Source organism: Homo sapiens, chromosome X (genome assembly GCF_000001405.40).
Source record: "Homo sapiens chromosome X, GRCh38.p14 Primary Assembly".
NCBI lineage: Eukaryota > Metazoa > Chordata > Mammalia > Primates > Hominidae > Homo > Homo sapiens.
In genome coordinates this window covers 119948805-119972425 of record NC_000023.11, presented here as the reverse complement: position 1 = coordinate 119972425, position 23621 = coordinate 119948805, and the positions used below count along the sequence as shown (strand labels likewise).

The window sequence follows — 23621 nt, the reverse complement described above, 5'->3', positions numbered from 1 at the left end:
TTTTTTTTTTTTTTGAGACCTGTTCTCACTCAGTCACCCTGGCTGGAGTGCAGTGGCGTGATCTCAGCTCACTGCAACCTGCACCTCCCAGGTTCAAGGGATCCTCCCACCTCAGCCTCCCAAGTAGCTGGGATCACAGGCATGCGTTACCATGCCTGGCTGATTTTTGTATTTTCAGTGGAGATGGGGTTTCACCATGTTGCCCAAGCTGGTCTCGACTTCCTGGGCTCAAGCGATCCACCCACTTCGGCGTCCCAAACTGCTGGGATTACAGGAATGAGCCACGGCGCCTGGTTGATACATATACTATTTTTAATGCATCTCTACTTCTTCCAGGTTCCACAAGAATTAAGGCATGAGGCAAAGGTAATATTCAAAAACACTGCTGCGGATAATAATTTCCACTCTTTCTAAGTTTCAAAAAAGAGAAGTCTTCTAAATGTAATCCCACAAAAAGCATGTATTTTAAAATATACTTCAAATATTTCAGAGGCAAAAATCAAACTGGGCACTGTGGCTCACACATGTAATCCCAGCACTTTGGGAGGCTGAGGTGGGAGGACTGCTTGAGTGCACAAGTTCCAGACCAGCCAGGGCAATGTAGTGAGACCTCATCTTTAAAAAATATATTTTAAAAAATTCTATTTAAAAAGGTGAAAATCAGAAATTATTCTAATGCAAGTTTTAAATTTTTGATTAAAAAATATTTAACACTGGTTACCAGAAAATAGGTTCATCCAAGATAGATGGTCTTTGTAGATGTTAGTTTCAGCTAAAAAGTTATGAACATAATCTCAGGAGGAGTCCAGTAACTTCAGCATTCTATAGTAATCAAAAAATTTTGCGTTTTGCTTTCTAAAGTTTCATTCCAGAGAGGATCAGCCATTTAGTGACCATGCCCTCCCCTGGGCCCTGAATCCTATGGACAATGCGTACCAACCCAGGTTCAGTTCCTCAGCACTCAAGCACCTCCATCCTGCACAAAACTCTCCTTCGAAGGGCTGAAAATTCAAGGATCCCACTCAAGCCAAAGCACTAGGTCATTTTACCTCTGGGAAAGGTAATCGACCTCTCTTGAAGGTATTAAGTGTCCTTGTGTTCACACTTTCAGGCCTTGAGAGGTTGATGCAATTTGTACCCTCTTCACAAAAGGCCAAGTATGCTTCTTCTACAACAGTCCTCATTTCCCCCAATCTTTTTGCAAAGCAAAATCTGCCAACCGAAAATATAACCCATGGGCAAGAGCCAGTTCTGTGCTTGTGTTAAATTAGCTTTTTTAGGAAAGCAGACTAACAGCTTGGAAACTGTTATTATGCAATTAGTATTCGTTTTGGAATTGGTAATTTGTCGTTTGCCTCAGTCAATATCACACTTGATATCTCAGATATCAGCACAGAACTATGGGACAGGGACCCTGAGTGCAACTGAGGCAGAATAATAAGGTCTGGAGGCAGGGAACCCAAGGCCATTTCACGCTGACTTCCTAAAACGAAATTGAAAGGAAAACCCTAACTTTCCATGCCTAAGTAACAAAAGGACAAAAGGACAAGTGGCTACTCCCTTTGCAAACCCCCATTTTTCTGCATTGGCAGATGGGAAATTAAAAGTATCTCTGATTGGTTGCTTTTTGCAACCAATCAGACGTTTGCATGGGAGTGTAACTTTGTAACTTCACTCAGCCTCTGACTGGTTGCTCTCTGCAATCAGACTGATTGCAAGCCACCACTTCATTTACATAAGGTGAACACCAAGTGGCCAATGGAAAACCTCTAGGGGGTACTTGGACCCGCGAAGATTCTGTAACTGGGCCCTTCAGTGGCTGCTCGGGTCTGCTCCCACCCTGTGGAGTGTACTTTTCGTTTTCAATACATCTCTGCTTTTGTGGCTTCATTGCTTCATTGCTTTGTTTCTGTGTTTTGTCCAATTCTTTGTTCAAAACGCCAGGAACCTGGACACCCTCGTCCGGTAACACTATGGTATGAACAAAATTTAATTATCAACTACACACCAATGGGCTGGATCCACCGCCCCCCGCCCCCCGCCCCCCCCCCGGCCATACAAAGGGTAGATCTTTTTAAAATTATTTTTTTGTAGAGACCAGGTCTCGCTTTGTTACCCAGGCTGGTTTCAAACTCCTGGCCTCAAGCAGTCCTCCTACCTCAGCCTTCCAAAGTGCTGGAATTACATGCATGAGCCACCACATCCAACCAAAGGGTAGATCTTAAAGTCAATGTGTGAATTCCTAACATTTACATGCCAGTATTTTAGATTCTAGGAATACAAAAAGTGCCTCCTACACAGGCTCTTACAAAAAGTGCCTTGTACACACGCTCTTACTTTCACAATCAAGGGACACAGGAGATTGAAGTGGTGACATTTAGGCATAGGCACCATAACTGATGTGCCTAGACTCATCCCAAGCACAGCACCCAGATAAAATTAGGGCCACTATGAGACGTGCAGATTTGGAGCATTACTTTTTCCTATGCTAGGCCCAAGAATTCTGGATTAAGAAAAAAAAAAATGGAGGCAAGGTAGAAAGCAAGGAAGAATCTCTATCCATTTCTTTTTTGAACAAGGGGAAAAAAAGACGAAACAAAAGATGTTTTCAAATCCGAAGTGGAAAAGGAGGCTGCGGAAACCTAGGGGAGAAAGAAATCCATGGCAATGAGTGAGTCCAGAGGTGATGTTCACTTTTAGGGAGCTTTGTAGTAAGGGGGAGCTAGAGTAAGGCATCCTCTGAGTGTTAGCCAGTGAGGCACAAAAAAATGGCTGTGGTCAACTGGGCTTTGTAGGAGAAAGGAAACACAGAATTAGGGTTCATATGCAAATGAATTTCTAAGATCTCATTCTACAGGCCCATCACAAGGTCAAGCAGTGGGGCTGTCTTTTCTCTTTTTCTCACTCACCTACCTGCCTTTTAACTCAGTTGGTCATCTTGGGGCTTAAAAGGATTGAAATATTGATTAAGAAGGAGGGAAAGTCAGGACTGGGAGGGGCATCTCACAATGTGATTGGCCCCAGTCCAGGTCCCCAAGCCCAACACCCCAGGAAACATCCAGGATTCTCCTATTTCTTCATTTGAATCACAAAATATTTCCAAGAATGTCCAATTAATTCTATGCGCCTACTCACCACATCAAAACTGCAATTCCAACAGGGAGTCAGACAGAAATATTGAAAGCTGTTAAATTGGTTCTTCTGCTGTCTATTTAGCATAGAGACTTGGACTTCCGAGGTCTCCATAACCAAATCTGTCCTTCCCTGAGGTGGATTATGATCCAGAAATATTGCATAGTGATATTAAAGTGAATCCTTATTTCTGCAAAATGCCAAAGATACGGGGTTAGTTCTGGATAAAAATTAAGGAGATTAAACCATTGGATATGGACCAAATATTTCTCATTTGTTCTTATACCCAGACCAATTAAATAGATTCCATTTCATTGCTTTAAACTGCCTTTTTTGATATTCATTTATTCATCCATTTATTCTGTCATCTTAAAAATTAAGGCAATATATAACATAAGATGCATATAATACAATAAGAAAATAAAAATGAAAAGTGATTCTTTAAAACAATTAACAGTGGATTAAGCTGCTATTTATCAAAGAAAACACAACGTCCTTTTCCCTGTGTGAAGCAGTGTATGATGAGTGTACAACATCATGGAAGTCTAAAATCCTCACCCTTTATTTACTTTTTTTAAATTTTTTTTTATTTTTTTATTTTTTACTTTATTATACTTTAAGTTTTAGGGTACATGTGCACATTGTGCAGGTTAGTTACATACGTATACATGTGCCATGCTGGTGTGCTGCACCCACTAACTCGTCATCTAGCATTAGGTATATCTCCCAATGCTATCCCTCCCCCCTCCCCCCACCCCACAACAGTCCCCAGAGTGTGATGTTCCCCTTCCTGTGTCCATGTGATCTCATTGTTCAATTCCCACCTATGAGTGAGAATATGCGGTGTTTGGTTTTTTGTTCTTGCGATAGTTTACTGAGAATGATGATTTCCAGTTTCATCCATGTCCCTACAAAGGACATGAACTCATCATTTTTTATGGCTGCATAGTATTCCATGGTGTATATGTGCCACATTTTCTTAATCCAGTCTATCATTGTTGGACATTTGGGTTGGTTCCAAGTCTTTGTTATTGTGAATAATGCCGCAGTAAACATACGTGTGCATGTGTCTTTATAGCAGCATGATTTATAGTCCTTTGGGTATATACCCAGTAGTGGGATGGCTGGGTCAAATGGTATTTCTAGTTCTAGATCCCTGAGGAATCGCCACACTGACTTCCACAATGGTTGAACTAGTTTATAGTCCCACCAACAGTGTAAAAGTGTTCCTATTTCTCCACATCCTCTCCAGCACCTGTTGTTTCCTGACTTTTTAATGATTGCCATTCTAACTGGTTCCTCACACTTTATTTTATTTATTTTTTTGAGACAGAGTCTCACTCTGTCACCCAGGCTAGGGTGCAGTGGCATGATCTCAGCTAACTAGAACCTCCATCTCCAAGGTCAAGTGATTCTTTTTTTTTTTTTCTGAGATGGAGTTTCACTCTTGTCGCACAGGCTGGAGTGCAATGGTGTGATCTCCACTCACTGCAACCTCTGCCTCCCGGGTTCAAGTGATTCTCCTGCCTCAGCCACCCAAGTAGCTGAGATTACAGGCGCCCGCCAGAACATCCGGCTAATTTTTGTATTTTTAGTAGAGATGGGGTTTCGCCATGTTGGCCAGGCTGGTCTCAAACTCCTGGCCTCAAGTGATCCACCTGCCCCAGCCTCCCAAAGTGCTGGGATTACAAGCATGAGCCACTGCGCCTGGCCCAAGCCATTCTCTTCCCTCAGCCTCCCAAGTAGCTGGGATTACAGGCAAGTGCCACCATGCCCTGCTAATTTCTGTATTTTTAGTGGAGACTTGGTTTCACCATGTTAACCAGGCTTGTCTGAAACTCCTGACCTCAAGTTATCCATCTGCCTCAGCCTCCCACAGTGGTGGGATTACATGGCTGAGCCACTGTGCCTGGCCAAATTCTCACACTTTATTATTATTTTTTTTATTATACTTTAAGTTCTAGGGTACATGTGCACAACATGCAGGTTTGTTACATATGTATACATGTGCCATGTTGGTGTGCTGCCCCCATTAACTTGTCATTTACATTAGGTATATCTCCTAATGCTATCTCCCCCCCTCCCCCCACCCCATGACAGGCTCCAGTGTATGATATTCCCCATCTTGTGTCCAAGTGTTCTCATTCTCCAATTCCCACCTATGAGTGAGAACATGCAGTGTTTGGTTTTCTGTCCTTGCAATAGTTTGCTCAGAATGATGGTTTCCAGTTTCATCCATGTCCCTACAAAGGACATGAACTCATCCTTTTTTATGGCTGCATAGTATTCCATGGTGTATATGTGCCACATTTTCTTAATCCAGTCTATCATTGATGGACATTTGGGTTGGTTCCAAGTCTTTGCTACTGTGAATAGTGCTACAGTAAACATACGTGTGCATGTGTCTTTACAGTAGCATGATTTATAATCCTTTGGGTATATACCCAGTAATGGGATGGCTGGGTCAAATGGTATTTCTAGTTCTAGATCCTTGAGGAATCGCCACACTGTCTTCCCCAATGGTTGAACTAGTTTACAGTCCCACCAACAGTGTAAAAGTGTTCCCATGTCTCCACATCCTCTCCAGCACCTGTTGTTTCCTGACTTTTTAATGATTGCCATTCTAACTGGCATGAGATGGTATCTCATTGTGGTTTTAATTTGCATTTCTCTGATGGCCAGTGATGATGAGCATTTTTTCATGTGTCTTTTGGCTGCATAAATGTCTTCTTTTGAGAAGTGTCTGTTCATATCCTTCTCCCACTTTTTGATGGGTTTGTTTGATTTTTTTCTTGTAAATTTGTTTAAGTTCTTTGTAGATTCTGGATATTAGCCATTTGTCAGATGGGTAGATTGTAAAAATTTTCTCCCATTCTGTAGGTTGCCTGTTCACTCTGATGGTAGTTTCTTTTGCTGTGCAGAAGCTCTTTAGTTTAATTAGATCCCATTTGTAATTTTTGCTTTGGTTGCCATTGGTTTTGGTGTTTTAGTCATGAAGTCCTTGCCCATGCCTATGTCCTGAATGGTATTGCCTAGGTTTTCTTCTAGGGTTTTTATGGTTTTAGGTCTAACATTTAAGTCTTTAATCCATCTTGAATGAATTTTTCTATAAGGTGTAAGGAAGGGATCCAGTTTCAGCTTTCTACATATGGCTAGCCAGTTTTCCCAGCACCATTTATTAAATAGGGAATCCTTTCCCTGTTTCTTTTTTTGTCAGGTTTGTCAAAGATCAGATGGTTGTAGATGTGTGGTATTATTTCTGGGGGCTCTGTTCTGTTCCATTAGTCTATATCTCTGTTTTGGTACCAGTACCATGCTGTTTTGGTTACTGTAGCCTTGTAGTATAGTTTGAGGTCACATAGCGTGATGCCTCCAGCTTTGTTCTTTTGGCTTAGGATTGTCTTAGCAATGTGGGCCCTTTTTTGGTTCCATATGAACTTTAAAGTAGTTTTTTCCAATTCTGTGAAGAAAGTCATTGGTAGCTTGATGGGGATGACATTGAATCTATAAATTACCTTGGGCAGTATGGCCATTTTCACAATATTGATTCTTCCTATCCATGAGCATAGAATGTTCTTCCATTTGTTTGTGTCCTCTTTGATTTCGTTGAGCAGTGGTTTGTAGTTCTGCTTGAAGAGGTCCTTCACATCCCTTGTAAGTTGGATTCCTAGGTATTTTATTCTCTTTGAAGCAATTCTGAATGGGAGTTCACTCATGATTTGGCTCTCTGTTCGTCTGTTATTGGTGTATAGGAATGCTTGTGAATTTTGCACACTGATTTTGTATCCTGAGACTGCTGAAGTTGCTTATCAGCTTAAGGAGATTTTGGGCTGAGATGATGGGGTTTTCTAAATATACAATCATGTCATCTGCAAACAGGGACAATTTGACTTCCTCTTTTCCTAATTGAATACCCTTTATTTCCTTCTCCTGCCTGATTGCCCTGGCCAGAACTTCCAACACTATGTTGAATAGGAGTGGTGAGAGGGCATCCCTGTCTTGTGCCAGTTTTCAAAGGGAATGCTTCCAGTTTTTGCCCATTCAGTCTGATATTGGCCGTGGGTTTGTCATAAATACCTCTTATTATTTTTGGATACGTCCCATCAATACCCAGTTTATTGAGAGTTTTTAGCACGAAGGGCTGTTGAATTTTGTCAAAGGCCTTTTCTGCATCTATTGAGATAATCATGTGGTTTTTGTCTTTGGTTCTGTTTATATGATGGATTACATTTATTGGTTTGCATAGGTTGAACCAGACTTGTATCCCAGGGATGAAGCCAACTTGATCATCATGGATAAGCTTTTTGATGGGCTCCTGGATTCAGTTTGCCAGTATTTTATTGAGAATTTTTGCATCGATGTTCATCAGGGATATTGGTCTAAAATTCTCTTTTTTTGTTATGTCTCTGCCAGGCTTTGGTATCAGGATGATGCTGGCCTCATAAAATGAGTTAGGGAGGATTCCCTCTTTTTCTATTGATTGGAATAGTTTCAGAAGGAATGGTACCAGCTCCTCTTTGTACCTCTGGTACAATTTGACTGTGAATCTGTCTGGTCCCGGACTTTTTTTGGTTGGTAGGCTATTAATTATTGTCTCTATTTCAGAGCCTGTTATTGATCTAGTCAGGGATTCAACTTCTTCCTGGTTTAGTCTTGGGAGGGTGTATGTGTCCAGGAATTTATCCATTTCTTCTAGATTTTTCTAGTTTGTTTGTGTAGAGGTGTTTATAGTATTCTCTGATGGTAGTTTGTATTTCTGTGGGATCAGTGGTGATATCCCTTTTATCATTTTTTATTGTGTCTATTTGATTCTTCTCTCTTTTCTTCTTTATTAGTCTTGCTAGTGGTCTGTCAATTTTGTTGATCTTTTCAAAAAAACCAGCTCCTGCAGAGCTGAGTTGAATTCCTGGATATCCTTGTTAACATTCTGTCTCGTTGATCTGTCTAATGTTGACAGTGGGGTGTTAAAGTCTCCTATTACTATTGTGTGGGACTCTGTCTCTTTGTAGGTCTCTAAGGACTTGCTTTATGAATCTGGCTGCTCCTGTATTGAGTGCATATATATTTATGATAGTTAGCTCTTCTTGTTGAATTGATCACTTTACCATTATGTAATGGCCTTCTTTGTCTCTTTAGATCTTTGTTGGTTTAAAGTCTGTTTTATCAGAGACTAGGATTGCAACCCCTGCTTTTTTTTGTTTTCCATTTGCTTGGTAGATTTTCCTCCACCACTTTATTTTGAGCCTATGTGTGTCTCTGCACATGAGATGGGTCTCCTGAATACAGCATACTGATGGGTCTTGACTCTTTATCCAATTTGCCAGTCTGTGTCTTTTAATTGGAGCATTTAGCCCATTTACGTTTAAGGTTAATATTGTGATGTGTGGGGCAGGGCGCGGTGGCTCACGCCTGTAATCCCAGCACTTTGGGAGGCCAAGGTGGGTGGATCACGAGGTCAGGAGATCAAGACCATCCTGGCTAACACGGTGAAACCCCGTCTCTACTAAAAATACAAAAAATTAGCCAGGCGTGGTGGCAGGCGCCTATAGTTCCAGCTACTCGGAAGGCTGAGGCAGGAGAATGGCATGATCCCAGGAGGTGGATCTTGCAGTGAGCCGAGACCGCGCCACTGCACTCTAGCCTGGGTGACAGAGCGAGACTCCGTCTCAAAAAAAAAAAAAAATGGTAATGTGTGAATTTGATCCTGTCATTATGATGTTAGCTGGTTATTTTGCTTGTTATTTGATGCAGTTTCTTCCTAGCATCGATGGTCATCACAATTTGGCATGTTTTTGCAGTGACTGGTACCGGTTGTTCCTTTCCATGTTTAGTGCTTCCTTCAGGAGCTCTTTTAGGGCAGGCCTGGTGGTGACAAAATCTCTCAGCATTTGCTTGTCTGTAAAGGATTTTATTTCTCCTTCACTTATGAAGCTTAGTTTGGCTGGATATGAAATTCTGGGTTGAAAATTCTTTTCTTTAAGAATGTTGAATATTGGCCCCCACTCTCTTCTGGCTTGTAGAATTTCTGCTGAGAGATCAGCTGTTAGTCTGATGGGCTTCCCTTTGTGGGTAACCTAACCTTTCTCTCTGGCTGCCCTTAACATTTTTTCCTTCATTTCAACTTTGGTGAATCTGACAATTATGTGTCTTGGAGTTGCTCTTCTCAAGGAGTATCTTTGTGGCATTCTCTATTTCCTGAATTTTAATGTTGGCCTGCCTTGCTAGGTTGGGGAAGTTCTCCTGGATAATATCCTGCAGAGTGTTTTCCAACTTGGTTCCATTCTCCCCATCACTTTCAGGTACCCCAATCAGACATAGATTTGGTCTTTTCACATAGTCCCATATTTCTTGCAGGCTTTGTTTGTTTCTTTTTACTCTTTTTTCTATAAACTTCTCTTCTCATTTTATTTCATTCATTTGATCTTCAATCGCTGATACCCTTTCTTCCACTTGATCGAATTGGCTACTGAAGCTTGTGCATTCGTCACGTAGTTCTCGTGCCATGGTTTTCAGCTCCATCAATTCATTTAAGGTCTTCTCTATGCTGTTTATTCTAGTTAGCCATTCCTCCAATCTTTTTTCAAGGTTTTTAGCTTCTTTGTGATGGGTTCAAACATCCTCCTTTAGCTCGGAGAAGTTTGTTATTAATGATCGTCTGAAGCCTTCTTCTCTCAACTCGTCAAAGTCATTCTCCATCTAGCTTTGTTCCATTGCTGGTGAGGAGCTGTGTTCCTTTAGAGGAGAAGAGGCACTCTGATTTTTAGAATTTTCAGCTTTTCTGCTCTGGTTTCTCCCCATCTTTGTGGTTTTATCTACCTTTGGTCTTTGATGATGGTGACGTACAGATGGGGTTTTGGTGTGGGTATCCTTTCTGTTTGTTAGTTTTCCTTCTAACAGTCAGGACCCTCAGCTGCAGATCTGTTGGAGTTTGCTGGAGGTCCACTCCAGACCCTGTTTGCCTGGGTATCACCAGCACAGGCTGCAGAATAGCAAATACTGCAGGATGGCAAATGTTGCTGCCTGATCCTTCCTCTGGAAGCTTCGTCTCAGAGGGGCACCCAGCTGTATGAGGTGTCAGTCAGCCCCTACTGGGAGATGCCTCCCAGTTAGGCTACTCGGGGGTCAGGGACCCTCTTGAGGAGGCAGTCTGTCCATTCTCAGATCTCAAACTGCATGCTGGGAGAACCACTACTCTCTTCAAAGCTGTCAGACAGGGACGTTTAAGTCTGCAGAAGTTTCTGCTGCCTTTTGTTCAGCTATGCCTTGCCCCAAGAGGTGGAGTCTACAGAGGGAGGCAGGCCTCCTTGAGCTGTGGTGGGCTCAACCCAGTTCGAGCTTCCCGGCCGCCTTGTTTACCTACTCAAGCCTCAGCAATGGCAGGCGCCCCTCCCCCAGCCTCACTGCCACCTTGCAATTTGATCTCAGACTGCTGTGCTAGCAGTGAGCAAGGCTCCGTGGGCGTGGGACCCTCCGAGCCAGGCGCAGTATAAAATCTCCTGGTGTGCTGTTTGCTAAGACCATTGGAAAAGTGCAGTATTAGGGTGGGAGTGTCCTGATTTTCCAGGTACCGTCTATCACAGCTTCCCTTGGCTAGGAAAGGGAATTTCCCAACCCCTTGCACTTCCCAAGTGAGGCGATGCCCTGCCCTGCTTCGGCTCACACTCCGTGGGCTGCACCCACTGTCTGACAAGCCCCATTGAGATGAATCCGGTACCTTAGTTGGAAATGCAGAAATCACCCATCTTCTGCGTCACTCACACTGGGAGCTGTAGACTGGAACTGTTCCTATTCGGCCATCTTGGAAACCTCAAATTCTCACACTTTAAACAGCAAGACAAGGACTTGCGCGTTTGCAGTCCAACACGTAAAGAGCTTGGAAGTCATCATTCCTGTCCTCACAAGAAAAAAGCTGAACAAACTAAAAATAACTCTTCCTAGATATATCAGAGAATTACAGTGGAAGGCATGAAAACTAGAGACAGACAGGCAGATACAGAGAATTACCATTTACCAAGAGTAGAAGGCCATCAGCAGAAACCCACAGTTGGAGCCAGTACGAGTAGGAACACTCTGTAGGAACAACTGTTCTGATGAACTTCTAGAAGCTCAGTATGGCCTATCTAGAGAGTTAAAACTTCAAGGGTGGGGGCAGCTTTAAGGGGACTCCACACTTTCATGAGTTTTATCTCCAGAAGCCCCACCAAGTCGTCACTGTGAAGGGAGGGGGTGGGAATCCCTCTCTGCTTCCAGCAGGTAGACAAGAAAAGCAATCATTTTGAAATATGCCCAGAGATCTCTGTTTTCCCTAGCCAAGGACTACCCTGAGAGGAAACTATTTTACCAGAGCCTAACCAAGTTCTGTTTCCCCAAAGCCTGACCAAACACAGGGAAAGGAAGTACTAAACTCCAGCCCTGTCTAGCCTTCCATCTAGGCTAAAGGGATGGGTGGGGACACTGAGAAGGACTTGTAAAGGTCACAGCCCAGGGACACAGGCTCAGTGAAAGACTGAGATCTAATCATGGGATGATAGAATGCTTGTGCTCCTCCCAACCTTACCACCACATCAGTAAGAATCCTGCATAATAACCACAGATTATAAGTGAATTACAGCTGAAAAGACTGCAAGCCTCAGATCCTATTTAAGGAGCCTCTGGAAAAACTCAAAGACAACAAAGAAGACAAAGACAAGGGCCCTACAAGAAATTTTAGCTTCTGACACTTAAAGCTACGGCCAACAGTAAACAGCATAATTCTTAGCCAGAGAACCATAAAACCTCACACAAAAGAACTACCTACCTCAGTGCTTTTTTATTTTTCCTTTTTTTGTAGTGACAGGGTCTCACTATATTATTGCCCAGGCTGGTCTCGAATTCCTGGCCTCAAGTGGGCCTCCTGACTTGGCCTCACGAAGTGCTGGGAATAGAGAGGCACAGCCACCATGCCCAGCCTACCTCAGTTCTTTCTACCCAGTACATCATGTATGGTTTTCAACAAAAATGTATAAGACTGCTAAAACTCAAAAAACATATTCTAGAACCAGGTGCAGTGGCCTACACCTTTAATATCAGCACTTCAGGAGGTCAAAGCAAGTGAAACACTTGAGCCCAGAAGTTCTAGACCAGCCTGGACAACATAGTGAGACCTTGTCTCTACAAAAAATAAGAAAAATTAGCCAGGCATGGTGGCACATGCCTGTAGACCCTAGCTACTCGGGAAACTGAGGTGGGAAGATCGCTTGAGCCCAGGAGGTTGCAATGAGCCATGATCATGCCACTGCAGTTCACCCTGGGCAACAGAGTGAGACCTTGTCTCAAAAAAATCATGTTCTGAAGAGACGAAGCAAGCATCAGAACCCAACTAAAATACAGCACAGATTTTAGAATGATTAGGTTGGGAATTTAAAATAACTATGATTATTATGCTAAGTGCTCTATTGGAAAGAGCAGATAACATGCAAGAAAGATGAGTAATGTATAGAGTGATAAAAACTCTAAGAAAAAAATTAAAAAAGAAATGCTACAAATCACAAACATAGTAACAGAATTGAAGAATGCTCTGATGGGCTTATGGTTAGACTAGAGAAGGCAGGAAAGAAACAGTACACTAGAAGATATGACAATAGACTTCCATATGTGGGTTGGACACGGTGGCTCACACCTGTAAGCCCAGCACTTCATGGGGCTAAAGTGGGAGGATTGCTGCAGGCAAGTTTGAGACCAGCGGGGGCAACATAGCAAGACCCCATCTCTTAAACAAAATTATCCAGGTGTGGTGGCTGAGACGGTAGGATTGCATGAGCCCTGGTGTTGGGGGCTGCAGTGAGCTATGATCAATCCACTGTGCTCCAGCCTGGATGACAGACTGAGACGCTGTCTCAAAAATAAAGTAAAATAAGAAAAGAAAAGAAAAGCTCTTAATATGACAATAGGAATTTCCCAAACTGAAAAGCAAAGAGAAAAAATAATGAAACAAAAAACAAACAGAATATCAAAGAACTCTGGACAATTACAAAGGTGTAACATATGCATAATGAGAGAAGAGAGAAAGGAATGGAAGAAATAATTAACATAATAATGGCAGAAAATTTTTCAAAGTTAATACAGAGAGCAAACCAGAGATCCAATATAGTCAAGGAACATCTAGTAGAATAAATACCAAAATAATCTATATTTAAGCATATCATATTCAAACTATAGAAAATCAAAGACAAAGAGAAACTCTTAAAAGAAGATGGATGAAAACAATACCTTACCTATAGAGGAGCAAGAAGAGGTATTCAAAGAAAAGCACCAACAACCTAGAATTCTGCACCCAGTGATATTACCCTTCAAGAGGATAAAGACTTTCTCAGACAAACAAAACTGGGAGAAATTGTCACCAGTATAACCGCTTTGCAATGGATGTTAAAAGTTTTTTTTTTTCTTTTTTTTTTTAGACAGAGTATTGCTCTGTCACTCAGGCTGGAGTGCAGTGACACGATCTCGGCTCACTGCAACCTCCAACTCCCGGGTTCAAGTGATTCTCCTACCTCAGTCTCCTGAGTAGTTGGTATTACAGGCACCCCCCCCCCACCACACCCAGCTAATTTTTGTATTTTTAGTAGAGACGGGGTTTCACCATGTTGGCCAGGCTGGTCTCGAACTCCTGACCTCATGATCCGCCCACCTTGCCTCCCAAAGTGCTGAGATTACAGGCGTGAGCCACTGCGCCCGGCCAAAAGTTTTTCAAAGAATAGAAAAATGATCGGCTGGGCACAGTGGCCCAGGCCTGTAATTCCAGCACTTTGGGAGGCCGAGGCAGGCAGATCACCTGGGGTCAGGAGTTTGAGACCAGCCTGGCCAACATGGTGAAACCCCATCTCTCCTAAAAATACAAAAATTAGCTGGGCGTCGTAGCAGGTGCCTGTAGTGCCAGCTACTTGGGAGGCTGAGGCAGGCGAATCACTTGAAGCCAGGAAGTTGCAGTGAGCCAAGATCACGCCATTGCACTCCAGCCTGGGAGACAAGAGCGAGACTCAAAAAAAAAAAAAAACCAAAAACTCCAATTTACATAAAGAAAGGAAAAACATTAGAGAAATCATCGATAAAGGTAAAATAAAATAAATATCTCATTTTTCTTATTTGATCTAACTGATAACAGTGTTCAAATTAATTATAGAAACAATGGGTTCAGTGATTATAGTTTAGAGATAAGTGAAATGAATGACAGCAATGTTATAAAGGACAGCAATGTTATAAGGGAGGAATTGGGAATACTGTGTTATAAAATAGTTGTACTACCCATACAATGATATAGTGTTATTTGAAAGTGAACTTAGATTAGTAGTAAATGCATATTGCAAACACTAGGGCAACACTAAAAATATTTTTAAGAAGTATAATTAGCCATGTGTGGTGGCGTGTACCTGTACTGCCAGCTACTCAGGAGGCAGAGACAGGATGACTGCTTAAGCTCAGCAGGTCAAGGCTGCAGTGAGCTATGATCGTGCCACTGCACTCCAGCCTGAGTGACAGAGTGAGACCTTACCCTAAAAAAAAAAGAAAAGAAAAAGAAAACACACACACAAACCATTAAATAAAATTTTAAAAAAGAAGTATAACTGATATACTAAGAGAGGAGAGAAAATGGAATCATAATTAGAAGCTCAATTACAACCAAAGAAGGCAGAAAAAGAGTAAAAGACAAAATAGAAACCAAGAACAAAGGCAACAAATTGAAAATAGTTACAAATATGGTAGACACTAATCCAAATACATCAATAATCACTTTAAATGTGAATGATCTAAATACACAAATTAAAAGACAGACAGAAACTTCATGATATGAGCATGAAGAGGAAAAAAAAGACAGAAACACTCAGAGTGGATAAAAATACAAGACCCAACTCTATACTGGCTACAAAAAACTCACTTTAAATACAAAAACAGGCCAGGTGTGGTAGTTAACACCTGTAATTTCAGCACTTTGGTAGGCTGAGGCAGGCAGATTACCTGAGCTCAAGATTTCAAGACCAGCCTGAGCAACATGGCAAAACCCCTGCTAATATAAAAATTAGCCAAGCAGGATGGCCTGTGCCTGTAGTCCCAGCTACTCAGAAGGCTGAGGTGGGAGGATCACCTGAGCCCAGGGAGGCTGAGGTTGTAATGAGCCATAATCACGCCACTGCACTCCTGCCTGGGCAACAGAGTGAGACCTTGTCTCATAAATAAATAAATAAATAAAATATAAAGACATGGATCAAAAGTAAAAGAATGGTTTTGATTTGGAGACAGGAGTTTTTTCTGAAAAAGGATGGAGAAAGATTATGCTATAGTAGCACTAATCAAAAGAAAGCTGTGCCAGGTTCGGTGGCTCACACTTGTAATCCCAGTGAGAGGTGAAGCCAGCTGGACTTCTGGGTCAGGTGGGGACTTGGAGAATTTTTCTGTCTTGCTAAAGGATTGTAAATGCACCAATCAGCACTCTGTAAAAATGCACCAATCAGCACTCTGTGTCTAGCTAAAGGATTGTAAATGCACCAATTAGCACTCTGTAAAAACGCACCAATCAGCACTCTGTGTCTAGCTAAAAGATTGAAAACACACCAATCAGCACTCTGTAAAATGGACCAATCAGCACTCTATAAAACGGACCAATCAGCACTCTGTAGAATGGATCAATCAGCAGGATGTGAGTGGGGCCAAATAAGGGAATAAAAGCTGGCCACCCGAGCCAGCAGCGGCAACCCACTCAGGTCCCCTTCCACGCTGTGGAAGCTTTGTTCTTTTGCTCTTCACAATAAATCTTGCTGCTGCTCACTCTTTGGGTATGCACTACCTTTATGAGCTGTAACACTCACCGCGAGGGTCTGCGGCTTCACTCCTGAAGTCAGCGAGACCACAAACCCACTGGGAGGAACAAACAACTCTGGACGTGCGCCACCTTTAAGAGCTATAACACTCACTGCCGGGGTCTGTGGCTTTGTTCCTGAAGTCAGCAAGACCACAAACCCACCAGGAGGAGCAAACAACTCCGGACGTGCCACCTTTAAGAGCTGTAACACTCATTGCGAAGGTCTGCGGCTTCACTCCTGAAGTCAGTGAGACCACGAACCCACCAGAAGGAAGACACTCTGGACACATCTGAACATCTGAAGGAACAAACTCCAGACACACCATCTTTAAGAACTGTAACACTCACCACGAGGGTCTGCGGCTTCATTCTTGAAGTCAGCGAGACCAAGAACCCACTGGAAGGAACAAATTCCAGACACACCAGCACTTTGGGAGGCTGAGGCGGCTAGATCACTTGAGGCCAGGAGTTTGAGACCAGCCTGGCCAACATAGTGAAAACCAACATAGTGAAACCTCCCATCTCTACTAAAAATACAAAAATTAGCCGGGCACAGTTGCATGCACCTGTAGTCCCAGATACTTGGGAGGCTGAGGCACGAGAATCGCTTAAACCTGGAATGCGGAGATTGCAGTGAGCCAAGGTCATGCCACTGCACTCCAATCTGGGTGACAGAGTAAGACTCTTGTCTCAAAAAACAAAAAAGAAAAAGAAAAAGAAAGCCGGAGTAGCTATATTAATTTCAGACAAAGCAAACCTTAGAGTAAGGAAAATTATTAGGGATAAAGAGGGGCCCTTCATAAGGATAAAGGAGTCAATTCTCCAGAAAACAGAACAATCCTTAATGTGTATGTGTCTAATGAGAGAGTATCCAAATATGTGCGGCGAAAACTGACATAACTGCAAGGAGAATGAGCTAAACCCGCTATTATACTTGGAGACATCAACACGTCAACATCAGTAATTGACAAATCCAGCAGGCAGAAAATCAGTAAGGATATGGTTGAACCATCAATAAACTGGATCTAGTTGACATTTATAGAGCATTTTATCCTACAATAGAATACACATTCTTCTCAAACTCGCATGGGACATTCAGCAAGGTAGACCACTTCTTTGCCATAAGACACACTTCTAAAGAACACATGGATCAAAGAAGACATTTCAGGGGAATTTGAAAAATATTTTGAACTACGTGAAAATGAAAATACAACTTTTCAAAATGTGTGGTAATCAATGAAAGCAATGCATAGAGGAAAATTCATTAGCACTTAGTGCATGCATTAGAAAAACAGGGCCGGGCACACGCCTGTAATCCCAGCACTTTAGGAGGCTGAGGCAGGTGGATCATGAGGTCAGGAGATCGAGACCATCCTGGCTAACATGGTGAAACCCCATCTCCACTAAAAATACAAAAAATTAGCCGGGCATAGTGGCACGTGCCTGTAGTCCCAGCTACTCGGGAGGCTGAGGCTGGAGAATTGCTTGAACCCAGGAGGCAGAGGTTGCAGTGAGCCGAGATTGTGCCACTGCACTCCATCCTGGGAAACAGAGCGAAACTCTGCCAAAAAAAAAAAAAAAATAGGAACTAAAATTCATAATCTAAACTTCAACCTTAAGAAACTAGAGAAAGAAGAGTAAATTGAATGAAAAGAAAGCAGAAGAAAAAATGGAATAAAAACTCAGAGCAAAAATCAAGGAAATTTAAAACAGAAAACAAGAAAAGCAACAAAACCAAAAGTTGGCTCTTTGAAAAGATCACAAAATCGGTAAATATCAAGTCAGGGTAACCAAGGGAAAAAAGAGACAAAACATAATTTTTTTTCCTCTTTTGGCGGAAGACAAAAGTCTTGCTCTGTCACCCAGGCTAGAGTGCAGTGATGCAATCATAGGCTGACTGTAAACTTGTACTCTTGTGCTCAAGGGATCTTCTGCCTCAGCCTCCCAAAGTGCTGGGATTACAGACATGAGACACCATGCCCAGAAACAAATTTCTAATATCAGAAATGAAAGAGAGGTCATTACTACCGATCTCATGGACATTAAAATGATGAGAAAGGAATATTTTGCAAAACTTTATGGCCACAAATTTAATAACTTAGATGCAATGGACCAATTCCTTGAAAGATACTGTTGGGATGATCAGACCCAACACCAGGTTGTGGGGACGATGAAGTCCAGTGGAGTCAAAGGATTGAGAAAAAGACAGTTTGAGAGAAAGTGGGACCGGGGGCCATCACAAGTGTGGAGGCTGCAAAGGCCCTGAGCTCTGGGAGCCCACGCTATTTATTAGTGCTCAAAGAAACAGGTGGTGAGGATGTGGGGGTTGAAAGGAAACAGTGTATCAAGTGAATGAAAAACATATGGCTACTTGGGATAATGGGAGTGCTAGAAGTAAGGAGCCAGCAAGTCTAGCAGACATGCAAGCCCTGCCTCAGCTTCTCTCCCTACACTCAGCTTTTCTCCCTACACTCAGCTTTTCTCCCAACAGATACAATCTACTAAAACTCACACAAGGAGAAACAGACAATCTCAACATCTATATGTATTTTTAATTGAATCAATAATCTTCCAGAACAGAAAGCACCTGGCCAAGATAGTTTCACTGGGGAATTCTACCAAACATTTAAGGAAGAAATTATACTAATTCTCTACAATCTGTTCTAAAAAATAGAAGCATAGGAAATACGTCCTAACTCATCCTCTGAGGTTAGCATTACCCAAATATCAAAATCAGACAAATGCATTACAAGCAAGGAAAACCACAAATGAACATCTCCCATGAACATAGATGTAAAATCTTCAACAAAATGTTAGATCAAATTCAGCAATGTATACAAAAAAATTATACACCACAACTAAGTGGAATTTATTTCACGCATGCAAAGGTGGTTCAACATTTGAAAACCAATTAATGTAACCCATCACATTAACAAGCTAAAGAAGAAAAATAACATGATCATATCAACAGATGCAGAAAAAAGCATTTGACAAAATCCAACACCCATTCATGTTAAGAACTCTCAGAAACCCAGGAAGAGAGAGTAAGTTCCTCACCATGATAAGGACATCTAAAAATGCCTACATTACACTTAATGGTGAGAAACTAGATGTTTTCCCCTTAAGATCAGGAACAAGGCAAAGGCATCACCTCTCACCACTCCAATTCACAATTGTCCTGGAAGTCCTGCCTAATGCAATAATAAAATAAAATAAAATAAACAGTATATGAACTGAGAGGAAAAAAATAAAATTGTCCTTATTCACAGATGACATGATTATATGTGTAGAAAATCCCAAGGAATTAACAACAATAAAAAATAACACTCCTGAAACTAATGAGCAATTATAGCAAGATTGTAGGACACAAGGTTAATATACAAAAGTCAATCATCTTCCTATATGTCAGCAATGAGCAACTGGAATTTGAAATTAAAAACACAATACCATTTATATTAGCACCAAAAAATTAAATACTTAGGTATAACATAACAAAATATGTGTTATATCTCAATATCTATATGCAGAGAACTACAAAACTCTGATGAAATAAATCAAAGATCTAAATGGAGATCCTTTGAGCTGCAAGGTAAAAAATTTAATAAAAATAAATAAATACATGAAGAGAGATTCTATGTTCACGAATAGGAAGACTCAATATTGTTTAGATGTCACTTCTTCCCAACTTGACCTGTAGATTGAATGCAATTCCCATCAAAATCCCTGCAAATCATTTTGTGGAAGTCAACTAACTGATTTTAAAGTTTATATAAAAAATCAAATGACCCAGAAATTGCCAAATTAATTCTCAAGAATAAGAATAAAGTGAGAGGACTGACATTTCCCAACAACAAGATATTACTATTATAAAGCTACAGTAATCTAGACAGTGGGGTATTGGTGAAAGAATAGATTGATGAGACATAACAGACAGCTCAGAAATAGGCCCACACAAATATAGTTAACTGATCTTTGATAAAGGAACAAAGGCAATCCAATGGAGAAAGGATAGTCTTCTCAACAAATGGTGCTGGAAAAACTGGACAGCTACATGCAAAAAAATGAATCTTACACCTTTCACAAAGAGTAACTCAAAATGGATCACAGATTTAAATATAAAATGTAAAACTAGGCCAGGTGCAGTGTCTCACACCTGAAATCCCAGCAATTTCAGAGGCTGAGGCGGCTGGATCTCGTGAGTTCAGGAGTTTGAGACCAGCCTAGGTAACATGGCAAAACCCTGTCTCTACCAAAAGAAAAAAAAAATTAGCCAGGCATGGTGGCGCCTGCCTGTAGTCCCAGCTACTCAGAAGGCGGAGGTGGAGGATTGCTTGAGCCCAGGAGGTGGAGATTGCAGTGAGCCCTGATCTCGCCACTGCACTCCAGCCTTGGCAACACAGCGAGACTTCGTCTCAAAAAAAAAAAAAAATTAATGTAAAGCTATAAAACTTCAAGAAGATAACATATGAAAAAATCTGGGTGACTTGGGGTTTGTCAATAAGTTTTTAGGTAAAAAGCAAACAGAATATTCCATGAAAAAAAAATTGATAACTTGGACTTCATTAGGATTAAAAACATCTGTCCTACAAAAAACATCATTAAGAGAATGGGGCTGAGCGCAGTGGCTCATGACTGTAATCCCAGCACTTCGGGAGGCCAGGGCAGGTAGATCACAAGGTCAGGAGTTCAAGACCAGCCTGGCCAATATGGTGAAACCCTGTCTCTACTAAAAATACAAAAATTAGCCCGGGCCTGGTGGCGGGCACCTGAAGTCCCAGCTACTCAGGAGGCTGAGGCAGGAGAATCGCTTGAACCCAGGAGGCAGAGGTTGCAGTGAGCCAAGATTGTGCCACTGCACACCAGCCTGGGAGACAAAGCAAGACTCTGTCTCAAAAAAGAAAAGAGAGAGAGAGAGAGAATGAAAATACAAGCCACTGACTGAAAGGAAGTATTTTCAAAATACATATAAAAGGCTTGTATCCACAATACACAAGGAACTCTTCAACTCAACAATAAGAAAATAACCCAATTAAAAAGATGTGAACCAAAAGAAGACATACACATGGCAAACAAGCACATGAAAAGATGTTCAACATCATATGTAGTTTGCAAATTGAAAATTAAAATGAGATACCACTACACAGCTATTAGAATGGCCAAAATCCACAATACTGACAGCACCAAATGCTGACAAGAATGTAGACCAACAAGAATTTTCATTCATTGCTGGTGGGAATGCCAAATGGTTCAGCCACATTCAAAGACAGTTTGGTAGTTTCTTACAAGGCTAAACATCGTCTTACCATATGATCCAGTAATCACACCTCTAGGTATGTACCCAAGTAAGGTTAAAACATATATCTGCACAAAAACCTACACATAAATGTTTATAGCAGATTTATACATAATTGCCAAAACTTGGAAACAATCACGATGTCCTGCAATAGGTGAATAGATATACAAATTGTGGTGTATCCATACAATAGAATATTATTCAGCACTAAAAAGAAATGAACTGTCAAGTCACAAGAAGACATGGAGGAATGTGAAATGCACATTGCCAAGTGGAAGAAGCCAGTCTGATTGCAAATATATGGCTGTGATGGTTAATACTGAGTGTCAAATTGATCGCACTGAAGAATGTTCCAAAGTATTGTTCCTAGGTGTGTCCATGAGGGTGTTGCCAAAGGAGATTAACATTTGAGTCAGTGGACTGGGAGAAGCAGACCCACCCTCAGTCAGGGTGGGCTCCATCTAATCAGCTGCCAGGGGGCCAGAATAAAAGCAGGCAGAAGAACAGACTAGACTGGTTTAATCTTCTGGCTTACATCTTTCTCCTGTGCTGGATGCTTCCTACCCTTGAACATCAGACTCCAAGTTCTTCAGCTTTGGGACTTGGAGTAGGCTCCTTGCTCGTCAGCTTATAGACAGCCTACTGTGGGACCTCACCTTGTGATCATGTGAGTCAATACTCCTTAATAAACTCCATATATATATATATATATATATATATATATATATATATATATGCTATTAGTTCTACTAATAGCATATATATAGTACTATTAGTTCTACTGCTAATATATATGTATATACATATATAGTATATATATACATATACAGCATATATACATATATACTATATATACATATAGTATACATACACATATATTGTATATGTGTGTATATACACAATATATGTATACATATATACACACACATATATATGTATATATATAATTAGTTCTGTCCCTCTAGAGAACCCTGACTAATACTATGGCATTCTAGAAAAAGTACAACTGTAGAGACAGTAAAAAGATCAGCAGTTTCCAGAAGTTTGGCAGGGAAGAAGGGAGAGGGTAAGGAAGGAAGGATGAATAGGTAGAGCACAGAGAGATTTTAAAGGTAGTGAAACTGCTCTGTATGATGATGTAATGGTAGGTACATGACATTATGCATTTGGCAAAATCCATAGAAAGTAGAACACAAAGAATGAACCCTAATGTAAACTACAGACTTTAGTTAATTATCATATATCGAAATTCGTTCATCAATTAACAAATGTGCCACACCACCAGGTGCAGTGGCTCACGCCTGTAATCCCAGCACTTTGGGAGGCCAAGGCAGGTGTAATCCCAGCACTTTGGGAGGCCTGAGGTCAGGAGTTCGAGACCAGCCTGGCCAACATGGTAAAACCCCGTCTCTATTAATAATACAAAAAGTAGCTGGATATGGTGCCACATGCCTGTGGTCTCAGCTACTTGGGAGGCTGAGGCAGGAGAATCACTTGAACCCAGGAGGCAGAGGTTGCAGTGAGCCAAGATCGCGCCATTGCACTCCAGCCTGGGCGACAAGAGCAAAACTCCGCCTAAAAAACAAACAAATAAACAAAAAAACAAATGTGCCATACCAAAACAAAATGTTCATAATAGAGGAAACTGTGGAGGTGGAGTGGGGCAGGGCAGGGGGAGTATATGGGAGCTCTGTACTTTCTGCTCCATTTTTCTGTAAACCTAAAACTGCTCTTAAAAATAAAGTCTATTAATTAAAAAAAAAAACAAGGCAAGATCAAAGCATGACTACAGCTAGCATCTCTGCTCACTGAGTCCAATGTTTTCAGGGTGTGCCTATTTTGGGTTTTCAGTTTATTAGCATGGCTTATCCGATAATAGATACGAGTACTTCATGTAGTGTTTAGTTAAATTTTGCAAAACTGCATTCTGAGGAAGTCCTGTTCTTTCATTTTTAAAGCTACAGGAAGAGAGGGGGAAGGGACAGAAGGGAAGGAGGAGGAAAAGAAGGGGGGAGCATGAGGGAATCAAATGCCACAGTCCCATATTTAACATTTGCCCTTACAGGAATAGCAAATGTGCGGCACGTTGATTTCTCACTATCAGCACCAAAGTTTTGTACTCTAGATACTGCAAATAAGGAATGTCAGTTAATTGGAGTTAAGCAACACAGGAACAGAGGGTTATATCTTACTTCTCTCTGTGATCAACCCTCTTTCCCTTTTTTGCCCCTTCTCACATAGACGCAAACTGGAAGCTGTTCAATTGTATTTGGAATCTGTGACACAACTATTGTGTCTATTGTGATTATTGGCTGTGCTTTAGGATATCAGTTGTTTGGCCAAGTTTTGGGGCGGCCTCGCCCC

At 41.4% G+C, this 23621-nt stretch overlaps 1 long non-coding RNA gene across 1 annotated transcript; it reads right to left on the bottom strand.

Moving 5' to 3' along the window:
- Positions 1-294: 294 nt before the first annotated feature.
- Positions 295-4098, bottom strand: LOC124905209 (uncharacterized). Its single transcript, XR_007068312.1, has 2 exons — positions 3136-4098; positions 295-1971 (listed from the first exon to the last, which is right to left on the bottom strand). It is a non-coding gene; the product is annotated as an uncharacterized LOC124905209 (long non-coding RNA).
- Between the last annotated feature and the right edge of the window lie 19523 nt (positions 4099-23621).